We start from the raw sequence: 19,928 nt of genomic DNA, 5'->3' as shown, positions 1-19,928 counted from the left end.
CCTCGGCCCAGTAGAGGAACCTTATTTACAAAGGTTTATTTCTTCCTGGAGAACCTCCCCACCCTGAGCTAAGCAGCTCCTACTCTGGGCAGCCCCCCAGCACCCTCTCCCTGTCCCCACCAGTGCTCTCCCCCTCCCTTCCTGCCAGGGAGGAATTTCAGCCACTCTGGCTTTCCTTATCGCTAGCTGTGGAATCCCAAGCCAGGGAGTAGCAGGGTAGGGGGCAGGGGAGATAAGGAAAGCCTTCAGACCCCATGAAATCACTCCAAAGTGGAGCCTTTGTCCTCTCTTGAGCCTCGAATTGCCAGAGGCCTGAGGCGCATGGATCAGGAGGGGTCACAAGGGGCTATGAAAGCCATTCCAGCCCGGCCATGTCCCCAGGCCCTGGGCCTTGGGGCTGAGAGGGCTCGAGGGCGCAGGCCCAGCCCAGGCCTCCAGGGGCCAGGCCGCCCTCACAGGGACTGATCCCAGGGCATCGCCGGCCCGACGCCGCCCTGCCCCTTGGTGCCACTTACCTGGTCTCGGGCCGCACGCTGAGCAGGTAGCTCCGGCTGGCTGGGCTGGGGATCCACACGGGGCCGTCGTCCTCACCGTCGCCCCCCGCCCCCGACCGCCCACCCGCGCCCCAGCCCCGGCTGGGGGCCCTCCGCGACCCCATGGCACCGCCCTCCCCGACCGCCGGCCCCGCACTCGCCGCTGCCTCGCCTGTCCTCCAGGCCCCGGCCCCCGGGCCCCTGCCCGCCGCCGCCGCTCCCGCCCGCGGCTGACGCGCGCCCCTATTTATAGCCGGTGGCCGGGCCGTCGTCACCTGCTGCTGTCCCTCCCCTGGCCTGGCCCGACCCGGGCAGCGCGGCTTGGAGACGCCGGGGGGCGCCGGGGCCCATGTGCCCGCCCCAGGGCCGGCTCCGAGTCCGCTCCCTTGGCGGCCCTGGTGTCTGCAGTAGCGCCGCGTCTGGAGAGGCCCGGGAGGCCTCGGGAGGAAGGCGCAGCGGGTGTCCTGGTCATGGAGGACAGGCCCCTTCGTGGAGCTCCCGGGACCCGGCTCCCGGCCGGCCTGCTCATGTCCCGTGTGGCATATGAGGGGTCCACGAGGCCTGGCCGGGGCCAGGGGAGCCAGGTCAACCGCTGGCCAGCTTGGGCTAGACCGCGGGAGACCAGGGAGCCAAAGAACCAGCCCTCTTCCTGGCACCAGCCGTGACTGACCCTCGCCTTGCCTCGCCAGTGGCTGTTGGCCCAGCACATAGACAAGCCAAGCCACCTCCATTAGTGACCTGAGTCCCTGGGAGGCCGGAACCCCGTGGGATCTCTCTCCTGTCTCCCCCAACACCCCCAGTAACTAGCATAGATTAGGGGCTCAATTAACACTTCTAGATCACTCCTTCGGCCTCCATTTCTCAGCACCAGAGGGGGAAATGGGCTGAGTCCTGATACCCAGAAAAATAATCAAATCATGCAACAATTTCCAAGAACTAGTGCCAAGCACTGCCGAAACCTGGTCTAAATATTGGAAGTCCCCACAGACTTTTTTTTTTTTTGAGACAGAGTCTGGCTCTGTCGCCCAGGCTGGAGTGCAGTGGCGCTATCTCGGCTCACCGCAACCTCCGCCTCCCGGGTTCATGCCATTCTCCTGCCTCAGCCTCCCGAGTAGCTGGGACTACAGGCGCCCCACACCACGCCCGGCTAATTTTTTTCTTTGTATTTTTTAGTAGAGACGGGGTTTCACCGTGTTAGCCAGGATGGTCTCGATCTCCTGACCTCGTGATTCGCCCGCCTGGGCCTCCCAAAGTGCTGGGATTACAGGCGTGAGCCACCGCGCCCGGCCGGAAGTGCCCACAGACTTTTTTATCCATCCTTCTTTCTCCTATTTTCCTGAGAGCATCCAGAAAGTACCTGAAGCTAAATGGCTGTAATTGTTAGAAAGTGGGAGCAAAGGAGTCCAACCCTTCTGTTTTCGAAGCTGCACCCATCCCTACTCCTTTTGGAAATGGCTTTCCCCTACTCCGTGTGGTTCCAATGGCAACTACCTTGTTCCCACATGATCCCACTCCTGGCCTCAGCTGACTGCCATCAAACTCAAGCCAGGCTATTCACGGTACCCAATCTCCCTGACTATAGACCCTGGCTGTGCCAATAAAGTTCTTCTCTAAAACATTTTTAACTGGAATTGGGAAAGAAAACCAGACCCTCTGTGGTGGAAAACTGAGCTGTGAGGCCACAGCTGTCAGCAGCCATGTTTCCTGCCCTGTAGAGTAAGCCAGTTTACAGTGAGGAATAAGGAAGCTAGCACAGAGAGAAGCAGAGGCAAAGGACACAGGGTCCTGGTGGCTTTCAGGTGCCCTCGTTCAGGTGTTCCTGGGTTCCAGCTTTGTCCCTGGCCTTCCTGCAGGTTGGCAGTTCAAACTTTCCTTGGAATCTGTGTACCAAAAAAGTTCTCCCTTTGCTATTTCCAATTTAGGCTTCTGTTGGTAGAAGTATCCTGACCAATACTAATGTGTTCTCTCCTAGTGATCCCAAATTCATCTCTTGATCACATGTCCCCATTCATTCTTGCTCTTGGCTCTCTGGAGGTGCACAGAATCTTCAGTCATCTACAGGGTAGTCTTTCAAATATTTGAAAACCCACTTGGAGTTCTGGTTCATTTGTTTAAATCGTGTATGCTGGTTCAAGCAGCAGAGAAAAAAAGGGGGTGGGTGGGAAAGCATGTGAACACTCATGGGTCAGGTTAGGGCACAGGTGCTAGAGGCCGGGGTCACAGGGTCTCTGCCTGCAAGAAGCTCACAGTCTAATAGGTGGGACAGGCAACATACGATGCAGGGGAAAACATACAATTCTAAAACTATGTATAGGGAAGCACCAAAGTACAGAGAAAACAGTGGTTAGTTCTGCCTGTATTAGGACAGTTTTACAAGGAAGGAAGTAAAACTTGAGAAGGATTTTGTAAATTACGTAGGTCCTCGCCAAGTAGACTGTTATGGGTGGGGAGCAGGAGGAACCGAATATTCCAGATAGAGGGAACAGTACGTATAAAGATATGGAGGACTGACACAGCCCGGTATGCACGTCACTTGAGTATGAAGTCGACAGGAAAGTAGAGAGAGGATGACGAGGCAGGGGCTAGAGCCTTGAGACCTTGCCTAGCACAATGGGGACTCTGGACTTCCCTTCCAGGCCATTTCTCATACGACAATGGATATGGTGCCACTAGTTACCCATTCCAAATTACCAATTTCCTCTGGAAAATGTGGCCCCTGCAGAGGTTAGACCATAGCAACCTACAACTAAATTCGCACCTATATTAAGGGTGGGTCTGGGCTCCAGACATTAACAACTTCCCTGACAGACAGCCAAATTATTTCACTGACTCAATTTTTCATTGAGCCTGTGAGTTTTCAACAAAAACCACTGTTCATCAAAGTCTTCCCCACTCCTAAAGTCTCTTTTATCCTAAGTATACAATCTTACCTGTTTTTGGGGTTTTTTTTTAAGTTAAATCTCATCTTCCTACTCTTATACTTCCTTTCCTTCTTGTCTGTATCTTTTTTAATTCTGCCCATCATCCAGTGCTAACCTATAGGAGAATCTATCCTTCCCATTTTTTTTTTTTATGAGACAGGGTCTCACTATATTGCCCAGGCTGGTCTTGAACTCCTGGGCTCAAGCGATCCTCCTGCCTCAGCCTCCCAAAGTGATGGGATTACAGGCATGAGCCACCACATCTGGCCAAGATTTGGAACCCAGCTTCCTGCTATCTGCAAATTTAACAAGAACACTTTCTCTGTCTTCAACCAAGTTCAAGATAGGGGTCAAGCTGAGTAAGGAATGTCAAGGAACTCAGGGATGGAGAAGTCAATAATGCCTTTCCTTTCCAAGTTTACAGTCTAACAAGAGAAAGAGGACATGGAAAGTGGTGTTGTCTAACAAGGACTAGGCTAGGAGTCCAGAGACTAATCCTACTCTTCCACTGAGCAGCTGTGTGACCTTGGCCGAGTGGCTTGCCATCCCTGAGCTTTAGCTTTCTCCTTTGTAAAATGGAGTGGGGCATTCCATTTATGATCCTGAAGGTCATAGCCATTCATTCAGCAAGTATTAACTATTACATGTGAGGCATTATGCCAGGTGCTGAGGGTACAGAAATGAATAAGTTATAGTCTCTGTCCTCAAGAACCTCTCAAGCCTGAAGAGAGAACAATTAAAACAGAATCATTACAAATCCTGTGATAGAGGTTTGTACATGGTGCTAAAAGAGCACAGAAGAGTGCATGCCTTGGTTCTGCATTAGGAAATAATACAGGCCAGGCACAGTGGCTCACATCTGTAATCCCAGCACTTTGGGAGGCCAAGGCATGAGGATTGCTTGAGTCTGGGAGTTTGAGACCAGCCTGGGCAAGAAAGTGAGATCCCATCTCTACAAAAAAATTAAAAAATTAGCTGGCCATACATCTGTAGTCCTAGCTACTCAGGAGGCTGAGGTGGGAGGACCACGTGAGCCTAGGAGTTGGAGGCTGCAGTAAGCTGTGATTGCACCACTGAACCCCAGTCTGGGTAACAGAGAGAGAACCTGTCTCAAACAAACAAAGTAAGCAACACAGTACAAGGCAGTCAGTGTTTGCCATGTACTGAGGAAGCACTGTAGGAATTTGTTATTGGTGCCAGGATCCCATCTTCCAGTTATTTTGAACTTCCTGGGGCCCCAGAATAAACTGGGTACCTATAGTAGGAAAATCTTGGGCCTGTTTTTGTGTTAGTGAACATATTCAGTGCAATAAAGGAAGCTGCTCCCTGTTAGAGAATGGCGGAATCTCCCAGGACGCTTAGATCCTACTACATCAGTCCCTCTGAACAAGGTCTGAATGAGTTTGAACATGCCTTTTATTTTAATTTAGTTCCATCCCTTCCCCTTCCTACCCAGCCCCCTCTCTTCCAATGCTAACAAAACTCAAAGGGGACAATCCATCCTCCTTTGAAGCATTGCCCATGGCATGCATTACCCAATCCTTAACCCCAATATTATTAGCCATCACATTCCTCATGACCATTCACCTGAACTGATGAAAAACAACAGTCACCTCACATTGAGTGCAACCATGGCAGGCTGTGGTCCGTTACCATCATCCTAGCCTCTCTGATGACAGCCAACACCCTGGCAGAGGTCCAGTGACCTTGTCTTCACAAAGAACTTCACCCTCACTTACCTTTCACATCTCAATCAAATGCCCACCACTTGAACCTTGTCACCAGAAATTTCTCGATTTTTTTTTTTTTTTTTTTTTGAGACGGAGTCTTGTTCTGTCGCCCAGGCTGGAGTGCAGTGGCGCAATCTCGACTCGCTGCAAGCTCCGCCTCCCGGGTTCTCGTCATTCTCCTGCCTCAGCCTCCTCAGTAGCTGGGATTACAGGTGCCCACCACCACGCCCGGCTAATTTTTTTGTATTTTTTAGTAGAGACGGGGTTTCACCTTGTTAGCCAGGATGGTCTCGATCTCCTGACCTCATGATCCACCCGCCTGCGCCTCCCAAAGTGCTGGTATTACAGGCACGAGCCACCGCGCCCGGCAGAAATTTCTCTACCTCTAAAATGTCAGCTCCCCTGTAGCCTCTATGATCTTGAGCTCCTTCCTGGGTGACTTCTCTTATCCACCCCCACCTCATCCCCATACACACAAGAACACAGTGCAAAGTGGACAATAACGTCAACTACACCTTCCTTAGGGAACTCATTGCACTTGCCCTTCACCTTCTACTAAATTTACCCAGCAGGTTCCTAACCTGGGATTAGGTTGTGGGCTTCTTCTTGCTCCAGGGTTGGCCAACATTTCTGGTTTCCAGCCTAAGTCCAATCTCAGGCAGCGTGGCAATCCTTTTACATTCTCCCAAACTGACCTTTTCCTTTCCCTACAGCAACTGTTCCAAATAAGATTACAATCTCCCCTTTGCCTTCCTCACTTGTGATGGTCAACTGTTCCTTCAAAATACAGGGGAAAGTGAGACCATTGGGCAAGAACATCAACTTTAAAGGAGGACAGGCTGTCTATATCATCCCTGTGTCACACTAACCTCTGCTTCCTATATTTGCTTCCCTTCCAAGGCTCTCAAACTTCTGGCCTTCTCAGCAGCCCTACTGTAACAGCTCTCTGCTTCCCCTGCCTGGCCTCCTTCCCTCCTTCCCCACAGCCTATGAGGACAATCAAATGTTTGCTTCTAAAGTATTTACCCATTTTTTTTTTTTTTTGAGACAGGGTCACTCTGTCACCCAGACTGGAGTGCAGTGGTGTGATCATAGCTCACTGCAGCTTTGACCTCCTGGGCTCAAGTGATCCTCCTGCCTCAGCCTCTCAAAGGGCTAGGACTACAGGCACACACCACAACACCCAGTTAATATATATATTTTTAATTTTTTGAAAAGACAGTGTCTCTCGATATTGCTCAATCTGGTCTCAAACTCCTGGGCTCAAGCGATCACACTGCCTCAGCCTCCCAAAGTGCTGGGATTACAGGTATAAGCCACCATACCCTGCCAACCCCATCTTTCAGTTCACTACCAAACTTCTCAAAAGAGCCCAAGGGGAGCCAGTCACAATATCAAGCAATAATGGGTTAACAGAATTGGGTTATGAAGTTGCAAACATTGGCCTCCTGAACAAGGTAGAAGCAACCCAATGAGTAGAGCTGAAACATAAGGTCAGAGCCAGGCCCACCCAATGACAGTGGCCAGATGCCAGTCCCTGAGGGTTAACGTGGAGCTCCTGGGGACCACAGCTGGTCCTCAGGCTTGGGACAGAGAGAGACTAAGGGGAGACACATGTGGTCCCATCTGTGTGGAGGAGAGGAAACGGGGGGCGGGGAGCAGGGACTGATCACGGTTGGCAGGAAGGGCCATCATTAAGTAATCCCTACACCTCTAGCCTCTCCCTGCCACTGCAGGGCCTCAGCACTGTCTAGACAACCCTGGTGGAGGGGCCCTAGCCTGTGCCTGCACATCTCCAGGGCGTGAGAATGTGCTACTCCTCCAAGCAGCCCATTTCATTTTCAGGCAGATTTTCCTTTTATTCTGAGTCAAATTTTGCTCTGGAGCCACACAGATGTCTAGACTCCTTTTTGATATGATAGCTCCGCAAAGACGTGAAAATACTGGTCATGAAATACCTCTTTTCTTGATGAAACATCAAATTCCTTCAACAGCTCCTTGAACAAAATGGCACTGAGAGCCTCAGGCCATGCAAGATGTTCCTCTCTGGATGCATCTACTTTGCCAATGTTCACCTCAAACTCCTGTGCCATGAATGGTCATAGTTCACACGAGCTTTTTAGAGCAAAGTACATTATAATGATCATCAACTTCATTCTGGTCAGAAGACTTTCCAGGTCTTATTTTGCTTCTTTGGCACCCATGTGGACTCATGCTGAGGTGGCCTTCTCCACAAGCTGTGGCACAGGTCTGAGGTCAGGGGTCATTGAAAACTTCCTTATGAAGCATCATTGGCTTCCACTCCAGTCCTCAACGCTCCTCAAACCACATCTCAATGCGAGTCATTAATAGCATGGTAAATTAATCAAATACCTATCCAATCCCTCCAGTTTCCTCTATTTTTCCTTCGCTTGATTCCACTCATTCTAAAGTCTCAGCTCTGAGTTCAACAAAGCCCAGTTCTTTCTGCTGATCCTGCCCTCCCGTGGGAACTTACTGCCTTGTGCTACAAGCTGCCCTTCCTGCCAGCTGGTCTGCAGGGCTCTTTGCTGCTTGTCTGACCTCCCTCCAAGAGCTGCCACAGCTCCCAGCTCAGGCAGCTGAGCCTCTATTCCAAGAGGGTGGACACTCCAGGTCCTACCGCTCTGGGATGAGCTGGCCACTCTGGCATGCTTCTATCCAGGGACTGGATAGCTGTGTGGCCACAGCTGTGCTTGGGTAAATGGACACCAATTAAAGGATTACTGGCAATGAGAAGTCAGTCCTGATTCTCATTTGATTGGAAAGGGAATTTGGGACTCAATGATAGAGCTGCCACAGCCACGTGTCTTCCCCAATCCACCTGCTCTGATTCCATCCAGGACTGCCACAAATCTAGGCATGTCCCAAAATAAAGCAATCATTAGATAAGAGGATAAGTGTGTGGTCAGGGGCCAGCAATTAGTCAGTTGGGCCCAGTATATAAACTCCCTATCTTCAACTGAACCTAGAAAAGGCTCTTCCCAGCCCAGGCTTCTCCTGGTCTTCTTGCAAGGTAAACTAGTCTTTTTCCTCCCTTTCAAGTCTTTGTCTTTTTCTAAGAAAGTCTTTGAATCTCAGCTCTCCTTTTCCTCAACAGCTATATCTTCTCATTCTTTAAAAAACTTTTAATACCGGCTGGGCGTGGTGGCTCATGCCTGTAATCCTAGCACTTTGGGAGCCTGAGGCGGGTGGATCACCTGACGTCAGGAGTTCGAGACCAGCCTGGCCAACATGGCAAAACCCCGTCTCTACTAAAAATATGAAAATTAGCCAGGCGTGGTGGTGGGTGCCTGTAATCCCAGCTACTGGGGAGGCTGAGGCAAGAGAATCGCTTGAACCTGGGGGACAAACGTTGCAGTGAGCCAAAGATAGCACCACTTCACTCCAACCTGGGTGACAGAGTGAGACTCTGTCTCAAAAAAAAAAATTAATTCCTCCCAGCAACTGCTGCCACAGTTACTGCTCACCCAAGTGCTGCCGTTGACGAATCAAGCCACTACCTCCCTTTTGAGCTCACCAGCACCATTTCTATCACTGTCTTAAAAAATGCAGTTTCCAGGTTCTAAACTCTCCATCTGTTCAAATTCTTCTGCCTGCCCCTCCACAAATTTCTATCCCTTTTCCCACCATCACCTCCCCTGACAACCCCCACTTTCCATCTTCTCCTTTTCCCCACTTTTAAATCATATCAAAACCCCTCCTCCATAGGCAAAGAGCTTCTTAGAAAGCAGCACCTACTTTCTTGTTCAGATACCAAGAATATTCAGCTCTGTTATGCACAATGGATCTTAGGGGAAAATTCTAAGCAAATTGTTCTACAGACTAAAAAACCCCACAGAAAAGGAGGGATTATGTGTGTGCCCTGTGCTATAATTGAAAGGGGAGACCTAGAATCAGTGGGGTTCCAAGTTTAATGAATGCCAGATTGAAGAGGAGCTTAATCACTCTCTCCAAATATCAAATGCATCATCTACCATCCCCATTTTCATATAGAATAGAGGCAAAGCTTACAGGATTAAGTCTGAGAAGATCTGGTAGGTCTGTACTTGATCTCAGCCAAAAGGCCAAGAAGCGAAGCGATTTAGCAGATCTGGACGAACACTCTATGTATGATCCCACGTCCTTTCATGAAACACCCTGGTGCTGCAGATCCACTGTCACTTGGGGACTCATTGTGATGGAAGCTTCTCCTAGTTAGAATGGATTTACATGTCTTTATCACATCCTTCTGCACCCCTTTTCCTTATGGTCAATTAAATATTTGTTGATTTTAGTATTCATGCACTGAAAACTCAATTTAAATCTGTAAATGGGTATATATAGATATATATATAAAATAAGAGCTTTTTTTTTTTTTGAGACGGAGTCTCGCTCTGTCGCCCAGCGTGGAGTATGATGGTGTGTTCTCAGCTCACTGCAGCCTCCACCTCCCAGGTTCAAGCAATTCTCCTGCCTCAGCCTCCTGAGTAGCCGGGACTTCAGGCACCTGCCACCACGCCGGGCTAATTTTTGTATTTTTAGTAGAGACAGGGTTTCACCATATTGGCCAGGCTGGTCTCAAACTCCTAACCACATCATCTGCCCGCCTCAGCCTCCCAAAGTGCTGGGATTACAGGCGTGGGCCAAAATAAGAGCATTATTAAAGGCCAATACATGACACAACGAACCAACTCAAGAATTCACCTGGACCTAGAACCCTAATGAAAAATGCCTGGTGACAGAAGGATTTGAAGATGCTTGGAAGTTATGAAGTAGACAAAGTTCAAACTTCAAAAGGCTTGACAAAAGCCAAAAAAAAAATTGCGAGGTACCGTGGCTCACACGTGTAATCCCAGCATTTTGGGAGGCTGAGGCAGGAGGATCCCTTGAACCCAGGAGTTCAAGACCAGCCTGGACAATACAGCCAGACCCCATCTCTAAAAAGATAATAACAAAATTAGCCAGGCATGATGGCACACACCTGTAGTCCCAGCTACTTGGGAGGCTGAGGTGGGAGGATCACTTGAGCCCAGGAGTTTGAGGTTGCAATGAGCTATGATTGTGCCATTGCACTCCAACCTGGGTGACAGGGCCAGACCCTGTCTCTAAAAAAAAAAAAAAGTAATAAAATTTAAAAAGCTGCAAAACTTAGGATGATTAACAATGAGACTTTTTTTAAAAAAAATAGGTACTCATAAAGAGCTAGAACTCTATCTGAGAAAGCATAAATCTAATGCAAACTGAAAAACAAATAAATGCAAATAAAAGTGATATTGCCTTGGAAGGGCTGAGTAAGAGGGATCTTTTCCATTTTTGTATGCATCTAGGTCAAAAGTAAACAAATAAAAAAATAAGCAAAAGAGGAAATACAAGTTCTTGCCTTTGGGAAGGTCTATTTTGACATGAACGTATACAGACTGAGAAGATAAAAATCAAGGTCCCCAGAGATATATAAACCAACCCCTTCATTTGATAGATAAGAGAACTAAGGCCAGGAAAGACCAAATGACTGTCACTTACAGAAATGAGACTGCACCCTAGGGCGTCTGATTACTATTATGACAATGAACTTCTCCATTCTATCACTCGCCAGTTTACTCAAGAAAAAAATAGGGCTAAACTCCCAAGGAAATAATTCTGCAGAAGCAAGAAGCTATATGCTCAGGACTCTTCATTGCACTGATGAAGTAGGGAATTTACATGTTAAACAGGAAATGGTCAATTGTATTGATTTGGCATGATGAACGTGATTACAATTATGGAAAATGATGATTTAGGCTGGGCATGGTGGCTCACGCCTGTAATCCCAGCATTTTGTGAGGCCCAGGCGGGCAGATCACAAGGTCAGGAGATCGAGACCATCCTGGCTAACACGGTGAAACCCCGTCTCTACTAAAAATACAAAAAAAAAAAAAGAAAGAAAATTAGCTGGGCATGGTGGCAGGCGCCTGTAGTCCCAGCTACTCAGGAGGTTGAGGCAGGAGAATGGCGTGAACCTGGGACGTGGAGCTTGCAGTGAGCCGAGATCACGCCACTGCACTCCAGCCTGGGCGACAGAGACAGACTCCGTCTCAAAAAAAAAAAAAGAAAAGAAAATGATGATTTAAAGGCTATGTAGAAACATGTACTGGACATTTTCTGCGTTAAGTGGAGAAAAGTAGAGTACAAAATCAGAGACAGTATAGTGTCAGTCACCCCTGAGTGTGAATTCCAGCTCTGCCCCTTATTAGCTCCATGGCCTTAAGGAAGTCATTCAACTACTCTGAACCTCAATTTTATTGTCTCCAAAAGAATAGTAGTAGTATGTATCTTACAGGATTGTTGTGAAGCTAAATAAAAATGAATGTGAGAATAATGTCTGCCATATAGAAATGTTCAATGTTAACCACTGCTGCTATCATAATTATACCATAAATTCAATTACAAATGTGCTGAACAAGGATTGGAAAGTGATAGGCAAAAATGAAAACAACTACAATGGTAAGAGGAAGAGATTATAAATATGTGTGCTTTTTAATTTCTCTAAAATGTTACATCATTTTCCAATAAAGAAAAAAGCATTTTAAGTAGGAACCCAAAAAAATCCCATACTTGGGACCTGCGTCCTAGTCTCAACTTTTTCCTCCAGGGGCCCAAGGCTTCCTGTGCCCAGTTCCTAAGGCTCCGGTGGCATCTGTTGGAGAAGGTGAACAGTATCCTGAACCCCTTAGTCAGGAGGACACATTCTAGAATCTAGAAGGTGCTGTCTTGGTCAGATCAGACCCTGAGAGAACAGCTGTAGCTACCAATTGAATCAGATTCATTCATTCATGCAGCATTCACTCATTCATCCATATACTTTTTGAATCACTGTTATATGCAAGGAACTTTTAAAGAATTACTCTGACCCAATGTATGAATTTGGAATAATCTCCAAAATACTATATAAGAAAGCAAGCTTCAGAACACTGTGTATAGAATTCTACTATTTGTATTAAAAATAGATATATAAATATACATATTTATAAACTTGTAAATGCATAGAATTGCTATGAAAGGATACACAACATATAGATAACAGTGATTAACTCTGGAGAGGGGACTAGAGGCTGACCTCCATGGGGAAGCTTACCATTTATTGTATACCCTTTTGTATTGTGGAATGTCTTACCATGTATATGTATTAATTTTTCAAAACAAAAAAACAAACAAACAAAAAAAGAAACTGCCTGGTGCTGAATATACAGTGGTGAACAGGACAGAGGTTCCCCAGTCTTGGGGAAGGCAAAGTGTTGAGCTTACTGGGCCACAATTATCAAATTTTTTAAAACCAGACTGTTTACATAAGTTAAGGGGAAAGTTCTTTCTACAACAATTAGCTTATAATAATTCAGCATATCATTTTACAGAGATAAAGCAGTTGGAAAATAAATACTAAGTAATTTGTCAAGTCTTAGACTGTATTAAGTTGTAGTTTCTACAAGGGAAGGGATCTTATCTGTTTAACTTGATCAGTAGAGCATTCACTGCAGCATAATGTGCAGATAAACGCTTGTTACAGCAAGCATTTTCTGATGATGACAAATGATAGCACAACCATTTAAAAAAATCTTGAAAAAGAAAAGACCAGAAGATGCTGGACTCTGAGGGAACTGTGTGTTCCCTGTGAGGGTTAGGCAACCTTTTCTAGACAGTCCTCAAAAAATGATGGTGTTCAAATGGCAAGGTAAATCCCAATGAGAATGAAAGGTTGTAGAGATACCACGTTTCGAAATGTCAACGGTGTGATGCTCGAGGCCCTCCTTGGGGTGACAAGGCACAGATGGACTCCAAAGAGAACCTGGCACTTGGCAGGGCACCCCAACTGCATGGGAAGTAGGAAAGCAAATGTCTGGGGGGCTGCAAACCACTGACAAGCTGGCAGCCTGTCAAAGCAGCCTTGGTCACTAACGAGCACAGTGGTTGACAGGCTTGACTCAGCACCATCACTACAGGTAGCCTCTGCACATCGTTTAACCTCTCGGAGCCTCGGTTTCTTCTCCGTAAAATGGAGGACAACTGTGAGATCTTTGTGAGGATTAAAGGAGAGAATCACCAGAAAGTGTTCAGTAAGATGCTAGGCACACAAGGAGGGCTTAAAATGCTATCTTCACTCTTACTAAAGAATGGCTAGGTGTCTGGGCCACTTCATAACTGCTAATCAGCATCCAAGTCCAAACAGCAGACAAAATGTGCTCCACCCTCCATGCCCTAAGGTCAAGTAAAGATTTCCCCACATTCATATAGTGTTTTATAAACTAGAAAATACTTTCACATTCATAAGCTCACAAAAGCCTGTGAAGCCAGTTGGATGGGAATTACTAACTCTATTGTGAAGGAGAGGAGACAGTGAGGTTAAGGGATTTGTTAAGAGCTGGCTAAGGACAGAATCCAGGCCAGGACCCAGGTTTTCCAGGGACTGGCTCAGCATTTTTCCAACTCACGTTCTTCCCAGGAAGGAGATGTATATCTGGGGTCACGACAGGTGGTCAAACCTGCAATTCTACCATCTCTGCCTGCTCTCCAGCTACCACTGTGTCTGAGCAGGAAGGGATCCAGCCAGTCATTTCAAACCCTTCTATCAGCCTCCTCTGGAACCCATTCCTGTGAATGGACCCAGGGTACAGGGATGGCTTCCTGTAACTAGAATTAGGCATGGGACAACAGCTACGGCAGGTCTAGGTCTGGCTTTGCAGGTAGCTGGAAACAGGCCTGGGTTGCCCCACTGCCAGCTGGGGAGGCAGGGAAGTGGCAGCCTTGCCAGGAAGAGCAATTATTAAAAGGGTGCAGACAGCGAGAGTCTCTCTGAAAGTGAGGCAACCTTTCCCACTGCCATTAGCATTTCCACTAAAAACTTGGCATTTGATAGAGGGGAAAAAATGTATTTTTTCAACTGTGAAAAGGTCAGGCATATTTATCTGACTTAATAATTTATAATTGATATTTAATGCCTCCTTGAAAGATGACCTCTAAGCACCCGGCCAGCACCCTCTTCCCTTTACTCCACTACATCCTGCTGGGCGCAACCCCATGCCACCTGGGTTAGAGGTCAGACGACACCTCCACACAGCCTGCTCCTCGTGCTTGGGTGGGCCCTGACTCCACCATCAGTGAAAAGACAGCCAGTCTCCCAAGTCTAATCCCAGTTCTGCCACATTTGAGTTCTCTGTGGCAGTAGCGATGCTGTAAGAAATAAGAAACCTCTTGAATGCTATAAGAAAATTATAAAATTCCTCTTCTCCACCCCCTTTTCCCTTTTTACCAGTAAGGGGTTCTCTTATGTTGAAAATCAACTGAAGGAAAGATGAAGGTGCCTAGAAAATTTCGATACGCCCTAAAGCCAATGTCACTAGCCTGGAGATCTTGGAGGTGACTTGACCATTGTGGAGCCGCTCCCCTCACCCCTTCAGAAGGTCTCTAGAGAACTAAGTAGTACAGGGCTCCCGGTTTCCTAACCACAAGCTCCAGAATCTAGAGAAGGCCTTCCTTAGACAGTAGGAAGTATTGTTCTCCCTCAGAGATGGGACAAACAGGGGAAGTCTGGGAAAGACCCTTGGGTGGAATAGGGTGGGGCCAGGCTCACTTGGAGAGGAATACAAGAGCCTACCTGCATGGTGAGAAGATTTTTTATTTGAAATATAGTCTGAGCAACATGAGTGTAGCCAAGAGGAGTAGGGGCTGGCCTGCCTGGGGCAGCAGCCTCTCAAATGGCACGAGAGCAGTACAAATATTCCAATGTCTGTGTGCCCCAACCCCACCTGTCAGGAAAGGCAGAACAGCAGAACAAAGACCCACCCACAGCGCCTTCTCAAGGGGTCTGGTTCTTGGTGCCTGCCTGCCTTTGCCTTACCTCCTGCTCTGCCCAGGTTCCAAACAGAGGTGTGCAGCAGAGGTTTCTCCCACCCCACCCACAGAGACATGATGAGCCAGTGTGACAATTAGTTCTCAGGACTATTTTGAGGGAAAAGAATCAGAGAAGACAGGGAGGAGGGGCAAGGTGATCAAGGGCCCTCGCCAAACCAGACTAGGCAGAGCTCTCCCAGAGGGACTGTGTCAGCACCCCTCATTTCCCTCCTTCTCAGGATCTAAAGGCAGGAAGGAGAGCTGGTGTCTGCAGGAAAATAGAGCTCTGAGGAGCGCCCTGGCTGAAGGCAGCAAGCGGGAACCTCCCAGAAGAGCACAGCCGCTGTGGGGTTCAAGCCTAGTTGACAGCAGTGGGGTTGGGCCACATAAGCAGCTTGGGGTTGGAAGGACACAGACAAGAGATGGGGCACCAAGAAGCAGCGAAAAGCCATAAATAACAGAAGCAAATTCAGAGCTGTGAGGGTCCTGGCCGACCCCACATTTCCTGGGGCTGGGGGATACCCAGCACTGGCAGCTCAGGGCAGACACTACTCCAGGGTACAACCGGTCACACTCACACTGGGGGCAGAGCCTTTTATTTTCCACGGTCCGCAGGGCAGGTGGAAGACACTTCGGCACCACCCCTGACCATGCACACTGCAAAGTCTCCGGTCACACCTGAGGGGACAGTGTGTGGCTGTCCTGGTCCTGAGAGGCCTGTGGTTGACTGTGATCATTGTGGCCACCATCGTCCTCAGGGGCCGGGCCCAGCAATCTCCTCGCCTCTGGGTCAGCTGACAAAGGCTCACCGGCACATTCTTCCAGTCCATTCTCTCTAGTCTCCATGGGCACCTCCTCCCCGGAGCCCTCCTCTGGCTCTGCCACCTCCACTGCCATCTCCGCTGCCGCCGCCTCCTCTTCCTCCTCCTCCTCCTGGTCTCTCACCTTGTGGACAATGAAGAGGTGGCGGCTGAGGGAGCTGGCAGAGGTGTAGCACAAACCACAGAGGAGACATTGGGCTGTGGAGCTGTCCACCTGGTGCTGAGGTATGTGGCTCTGAAACTCGAGCCCCGAGTCTGTGGCAAAACTACATTTCGCGCACTGAAAAAGGGACTTGTGCCTTTTGGTGGAAGAGACAGTTGCGCCATTGCTGGTGCCTGGAGCGTCCCCCACTCCACTGACTGGTCTTTTCAGATGGTTCACCTAAAAGGAGAGACAGCATGAGCAAAGTCCAGGCCAAGCCCTGGACATGAGCCCCTAGACATAACCATGAGCCCAAGGACTCAAAGAAAGCACCACCCAGGCCAGGGTCACCCCAGCCCTGAACGCTGGTTTACGTTTGGTTTGTTTCAATTCTTTGTTTTGTAATGTAACATATGCATGTGTCACAATACTCCAAAGGCACGGGAAGGGTATAGAGACTACCCCACTCCCCAGACCTGCTCTCCAAAGAACATATTACCTGGGTTTGTGGCTCCTCCAAGAGGTATCCTATGCCTATACAAAAACAAAACTATTGTCTTTTACAAAATATGGCATGCCATGCATACTTTTCTTTTTCTTTTTGAGGCAGGGTCTTACTCTGTTGCCCAGGCTGGAGTGCAGAGGCACAATCACAGCTCACTGCATCCTTGACCTACCGGGCTTAAGCGATCCTCCCACCTCAGCCTCATGAGTAGCTGGGACTACAAGTGAACATCACCAAACCCAGCTAATTATTTTATTTTATTTCATTTCATTTTTGAGACAGGGTCTCATTTTGTTACCCAGGCTGGAGTGCAGTGGCGTGATCACAGCTCACTGCAGTCTTACCTCAGAGCTTAAGCGATCCTCCCACCTCAGCCTCCTGAATAGATGGAACTATAGGTGCACACCACCACACCCAGCTAATTTATTTACTTATTTATTGTAGAGACAGAGTCTCCCAATGTTGCCTAGGCTGGTCTCAAACTCCTAGGCTCAAGTGATCCTTCCACCTTGGCCTCCCAAAGTGATGGGATTACAGGCATGAGCCACCGCACCCAGTATATGCATGCTTTTCTTCACCCTGTGTTTTTCTTGTTTTTGTTTTTGTTTTACTTAACAACATACATTGGAGCATGTTTCCATGGGAGAACATACAGAGGCTTCATTCTTCTAAAGGCAGCACACTAACCCAATGTGGGGATGAGAAGTCCCCAACGGCAGACATTTAGCTGAGTTCCGTCTTTGTTACTGCACACAGTGCTGCAGCAAACATCCTTTAGCAGACTTCTTTATGCCCAAGGCAAAAGATCTCTCTAATAGACAAATCCTAGAAGCAGAATTGCTGGATCAAAGGGTATGTGCATTTTGGGGGAAGGGAGGATGTACATTTTACAATTGGACAGGTGTTGCCAAAAACATCAATCGATACCCCCAGCTACTACGCATGAAAGGTGCTTTGCCAACTACTGACACCATCTGATTAGGCAAGAACGTTTTTAAGAATGCCTTGAAACTCCAGGCAGCTCTTAGGACTTCCCAGACACACCTGACCCTTCTGTGGAACAGCACCCCCCTACCATGGTATGGAGAGAGGCTGGAGTGAGGAGGAAAAACCAGGCTGCTCCAAAGTTCACCAGAAATCAGAATAGGGCATGGAACAGGGATGAGGTCATAGGGCAAGGGGCCAGGATAGAAGGTTCTAGGCCTGGCTCTTCCTATAACTAGTGAGAAGGTTGGGGGGTGAGTTGGCCAAACATCATTATCCTCATCTGACAAGGTAGTCCTGTGTGCTCCCGCCTCAGGACTGCTGTGAAGCAGAAAGAGAATGGTATGTGTGAAAATGCACCAATGTCCACAGAGCACAGCACACCCCTACAGAGGGGGCCGTGGTGACAGGGAAGCAACAGTAACAAAAGGCTGACAGGCCACCTTATGGGTCTTTGTCCTTATCCCCTACTTGTGTCCAGTGCCAGGCGGGTCACACAGGACTAGAGAGTGACCCACATTGAGGGAAGCTGTCACTCTGGTTGTTCCATGGCCACAACAGTAGCCTTCCTAATGCCCTTCCAGCTCCAAGCCTCACTGAGCAGCCAGCTCCAATAGGCAGGGAGCCCACACTCACCTGAGGGGAATGTCCACCCGGAGGTTTCACTTTGGACGTCTGGCTCAAATCAGGGTTTCTGATGCCATGCATAAGGCTGATGTGGCTCTCCAGAAGGGAGGGCCGAGGAAAGCTGGGGCTGTCCTCTGTGCAGTACCTGCAGAAGCACAGCGGAGAGGTCAGGTAAGTGCCCGGGCCGCAGGCTCCCTCAGTGCTATTCACACCAAGGCCAGGAAGGAGGGAGTCTGGAGCAGACTCCTGGGCTGGCTAGTGCTGGGAACCCCAGAGAGATCCAGCCAGCAGGCCAGCCAAGGTAGCAGACAATAGCACGTCAGAATACTTGCACTCTTGACACCTGGCACTCAGCCACAATCTCACTGAACACTACCTGATGTCACCGCCCAGAGACCCAAGTGCTAGGCTAGTAGTCACAGTGAAAGGGCCTGGGGCCACCCCAAGGCACAGGCAGATGGTGCAGAAGCCTCTCGGCCCCAGGGGTGCATGCTCACATCACCACCCCTCCTCTTAAACCTCAGGATGCTTCGTGACTGATGGGCTGTGCAGTCCTGGGCTAGAGAGTGACGAGAGAGGGCTCAGGAGCTACCAGGTTCTGGAAGCTGATTTTTGACCTGCCCCTGATTTCTGACTTAGCCGCAATTTCTTCCAGTTGGAAATCACTTGTCTCTTGTCTTAGACACCTGATCTTGCAGCACAGAAAAGCCCCAGTGGTGCCACGGACAGAGTCTTTTGAACCTCAGGCCTCCTCACTACTATCCCCAGGGACTCACCCGCAGGTGTAGAACTTCTTTACTGTGTCATGGTTGTTGCGGATGTGTTTGCGCAGGCTGTTGGGGGTGTGGAAGGACTGTTCACACTGCCGGCATGGGTACCGCTTCAATGTCTAAGGAAGGAGGTGGCAACACACAAAGCATCAGAACTGTAAGATAGTTCTGGGTGCATTTTTCTTCTCAGATGCCATGGGCAGAAAGGAGGATACTCCCGAAGACCTCAAGATCTGTGGTACCCACCCTGCCCTAAGCACCAGGAACCCTAGGGGTTCTGGCTTCACAGAAGGAAGTCCAGAGGACTGGGCTCTGCATTATGACTGTGTGGCTGCACTTACCCGACCGTGGCTCTTTTTCATGTGGGACACGTAGCTCTCCCGATCTGGAACCCACTCCTGGCACTCCTGGCAGGTCCAGCCAGTGTTCCTCAGCCGCGGCCTGGCTTCCACCCTGCGGTGGGCTTCAGGCCTACCCCAGCGGCCAGAAGGCAGGGAGCTGCTCCGAGCAGCCACACTAGTGGCTGGTGGCTCAGTGGGAACTCGAGAGCCAGGGCGGCTTGAGGATGTGTCCGCTGAAGACTGGAGGCTTGACAGCTCGTCCACATTTCGGGGAACACCGTGGGTGCTCTGGGGATGGGGAGAGCGATTACTGACTGGGCAAGGGGAAAGATGCACAGAGTCAGACCCCCAGCCTGAGGCATGTGCCCTCCTCCCCGGCCTCCTCCCGCAAGGCATCCCACCTTGACGTGTTGCATCAACTCCGGCTTCTGCACGAACAAGAGTGGGCACTCAGGGCACTTGAAGACGCCCACCTGCGTCTTGCTGACATTCTGGTAAAAATGCTGCTGAATGTGCCTCTTCTTGTTGAAGACCATTTCACAGGAGCACTTATAAATGAGCCTGATGAGACAAGCCCTAGGGGGTGAGGTGGCCAAGGCACCATGCAGCCCCTCCACCCATCTCTGCTCTCTCTGAACCAGGGTCAAGTTTGGGAAAGCACTACCCTGAGCCAATGTGGATGCTCCCCTGCCT

General features: G+C 49.1%; 2 protein-coding genes across 5 annotated transcripts in view, besides 3 other annotated features; both read right to left on the bottom strand.

The window, feature by feature from the left end:
- The window catches only part of ALPK3 (alpha kinase 3), a 56,124-nt gene extending 55,369 nt beyond the window's left edge, over positions 1-755 (bottom strand). The window contains exon 1 of the mRNA NM_020778.5: positions 516-755. Coding sequence (NP_065829.4) covers positions 516-658 — 143 coding nt within the window. The 5' untranslated portion in view covers positions 659-755. The remainder of the gene's footprint in view (positions 1-515) is intronic.
- Positions 1,127-1,657: an enhancer, noted in NCBI's record as "H3K27ac-H3K4me1 hESC enhancer chr15:85359685-85360215 (GRCh37/hg19 assembly coordinates)". NCBI's record gives its function as "activates a minimal SCP1, AML or CMV promoter by ChIP-STARR-seq in primed H9 embryonic stem cells {active_cell/tissue: H9 hESC(primed)}" and the evidence as "EXISTENCE:reporter gene assay evidence [ECO:0000049][PMID:30033119]".
- ZNF592 (zinc finger protein 592) overlaps positions 11,666-19,928 on the bottom strand; it is a 57,854-nt gene continuing 49,591 nt past the window's right edge. For all 4 annotated transcript variants that reach the window (NM_014630.3, XM_005254996.4, XM_011522246.3 and 1 more), the window contains 5 exons: positions 19,637-19,796; positions 19,236-19,523; positions 18,901-19,013; positions 18,134-18,269; positions 11,666-16,248 (listed from right to left, as the gene is read on the bottom strand). In NM_014630.3, the coding sequence (NP_055445.2) occupies positions 15,718-16,248; positions 18,134-18,269; positions 18,901-19,013; positions 19,236-19,523; positions 19,637-19,796 (1,228 nt within the window). In that variant the 3' untranslated portion in view covers positions 11,666-15,717. The remainder of the gene's footprint in view (positions 16,249-18,133; positions 18,270-18,900; positions 19,014-19,235; positions 19,524-19,636; positions 19,797-19,928) is intronic.
- Positions 13,468-13,967: an enhancer, noted in NCBI's record as "H3K27ac hESC enhancer chr15:85347375-85347874 (GRCh37/hg19 assembly coordinates)". NCBI's record gives its function as "activates a minimal SCP1, AML or CMV promoter by ChIP-STARR-seq in primed H9 embryonic stem cells {active_cell/tissue: H9 hESC(primed)}" and the evidence as "EXISTENCE:reporter gene assay evidence [ECO:0000049][PMID:30033119]".
- Positions 13,968-14,469: an enhancer, noted in NCBI's record as "H3K27ac hESC enhancer chr15:85346873-85347374 (GRCh37/hg19 assembly coordinates)". NCBI's record gives its function as "activates a minimal SCP1, AML or CMV promoter by ChIP-STARR-seq in primed H9 embryonic stem cells {active_cell/tissue: H9 hESC(primed)}" and the evidence as "EXISTENCE:reporter gene assay evidence [ECO:0000049][PMID:30033119]".

This window comes from Homo sapiens, chromosome 15, assembly GCF_000001405.40.
Source record: "Homo sapiens chromosome 15, GRCh38.p14 Primary Assembly".
In the NCBI taxonomy this organism is placed as follows: Eukaryota; Metazoa; Chordata; class Mammalia; order Primates; family Hominidae; genus Homo; species Homo sapiens.
The sequence above is the reverse complement of the archived record's forward strand: the minus strand, read 5'-3'. Positions and strand labels throughout refer to the sequence as shown.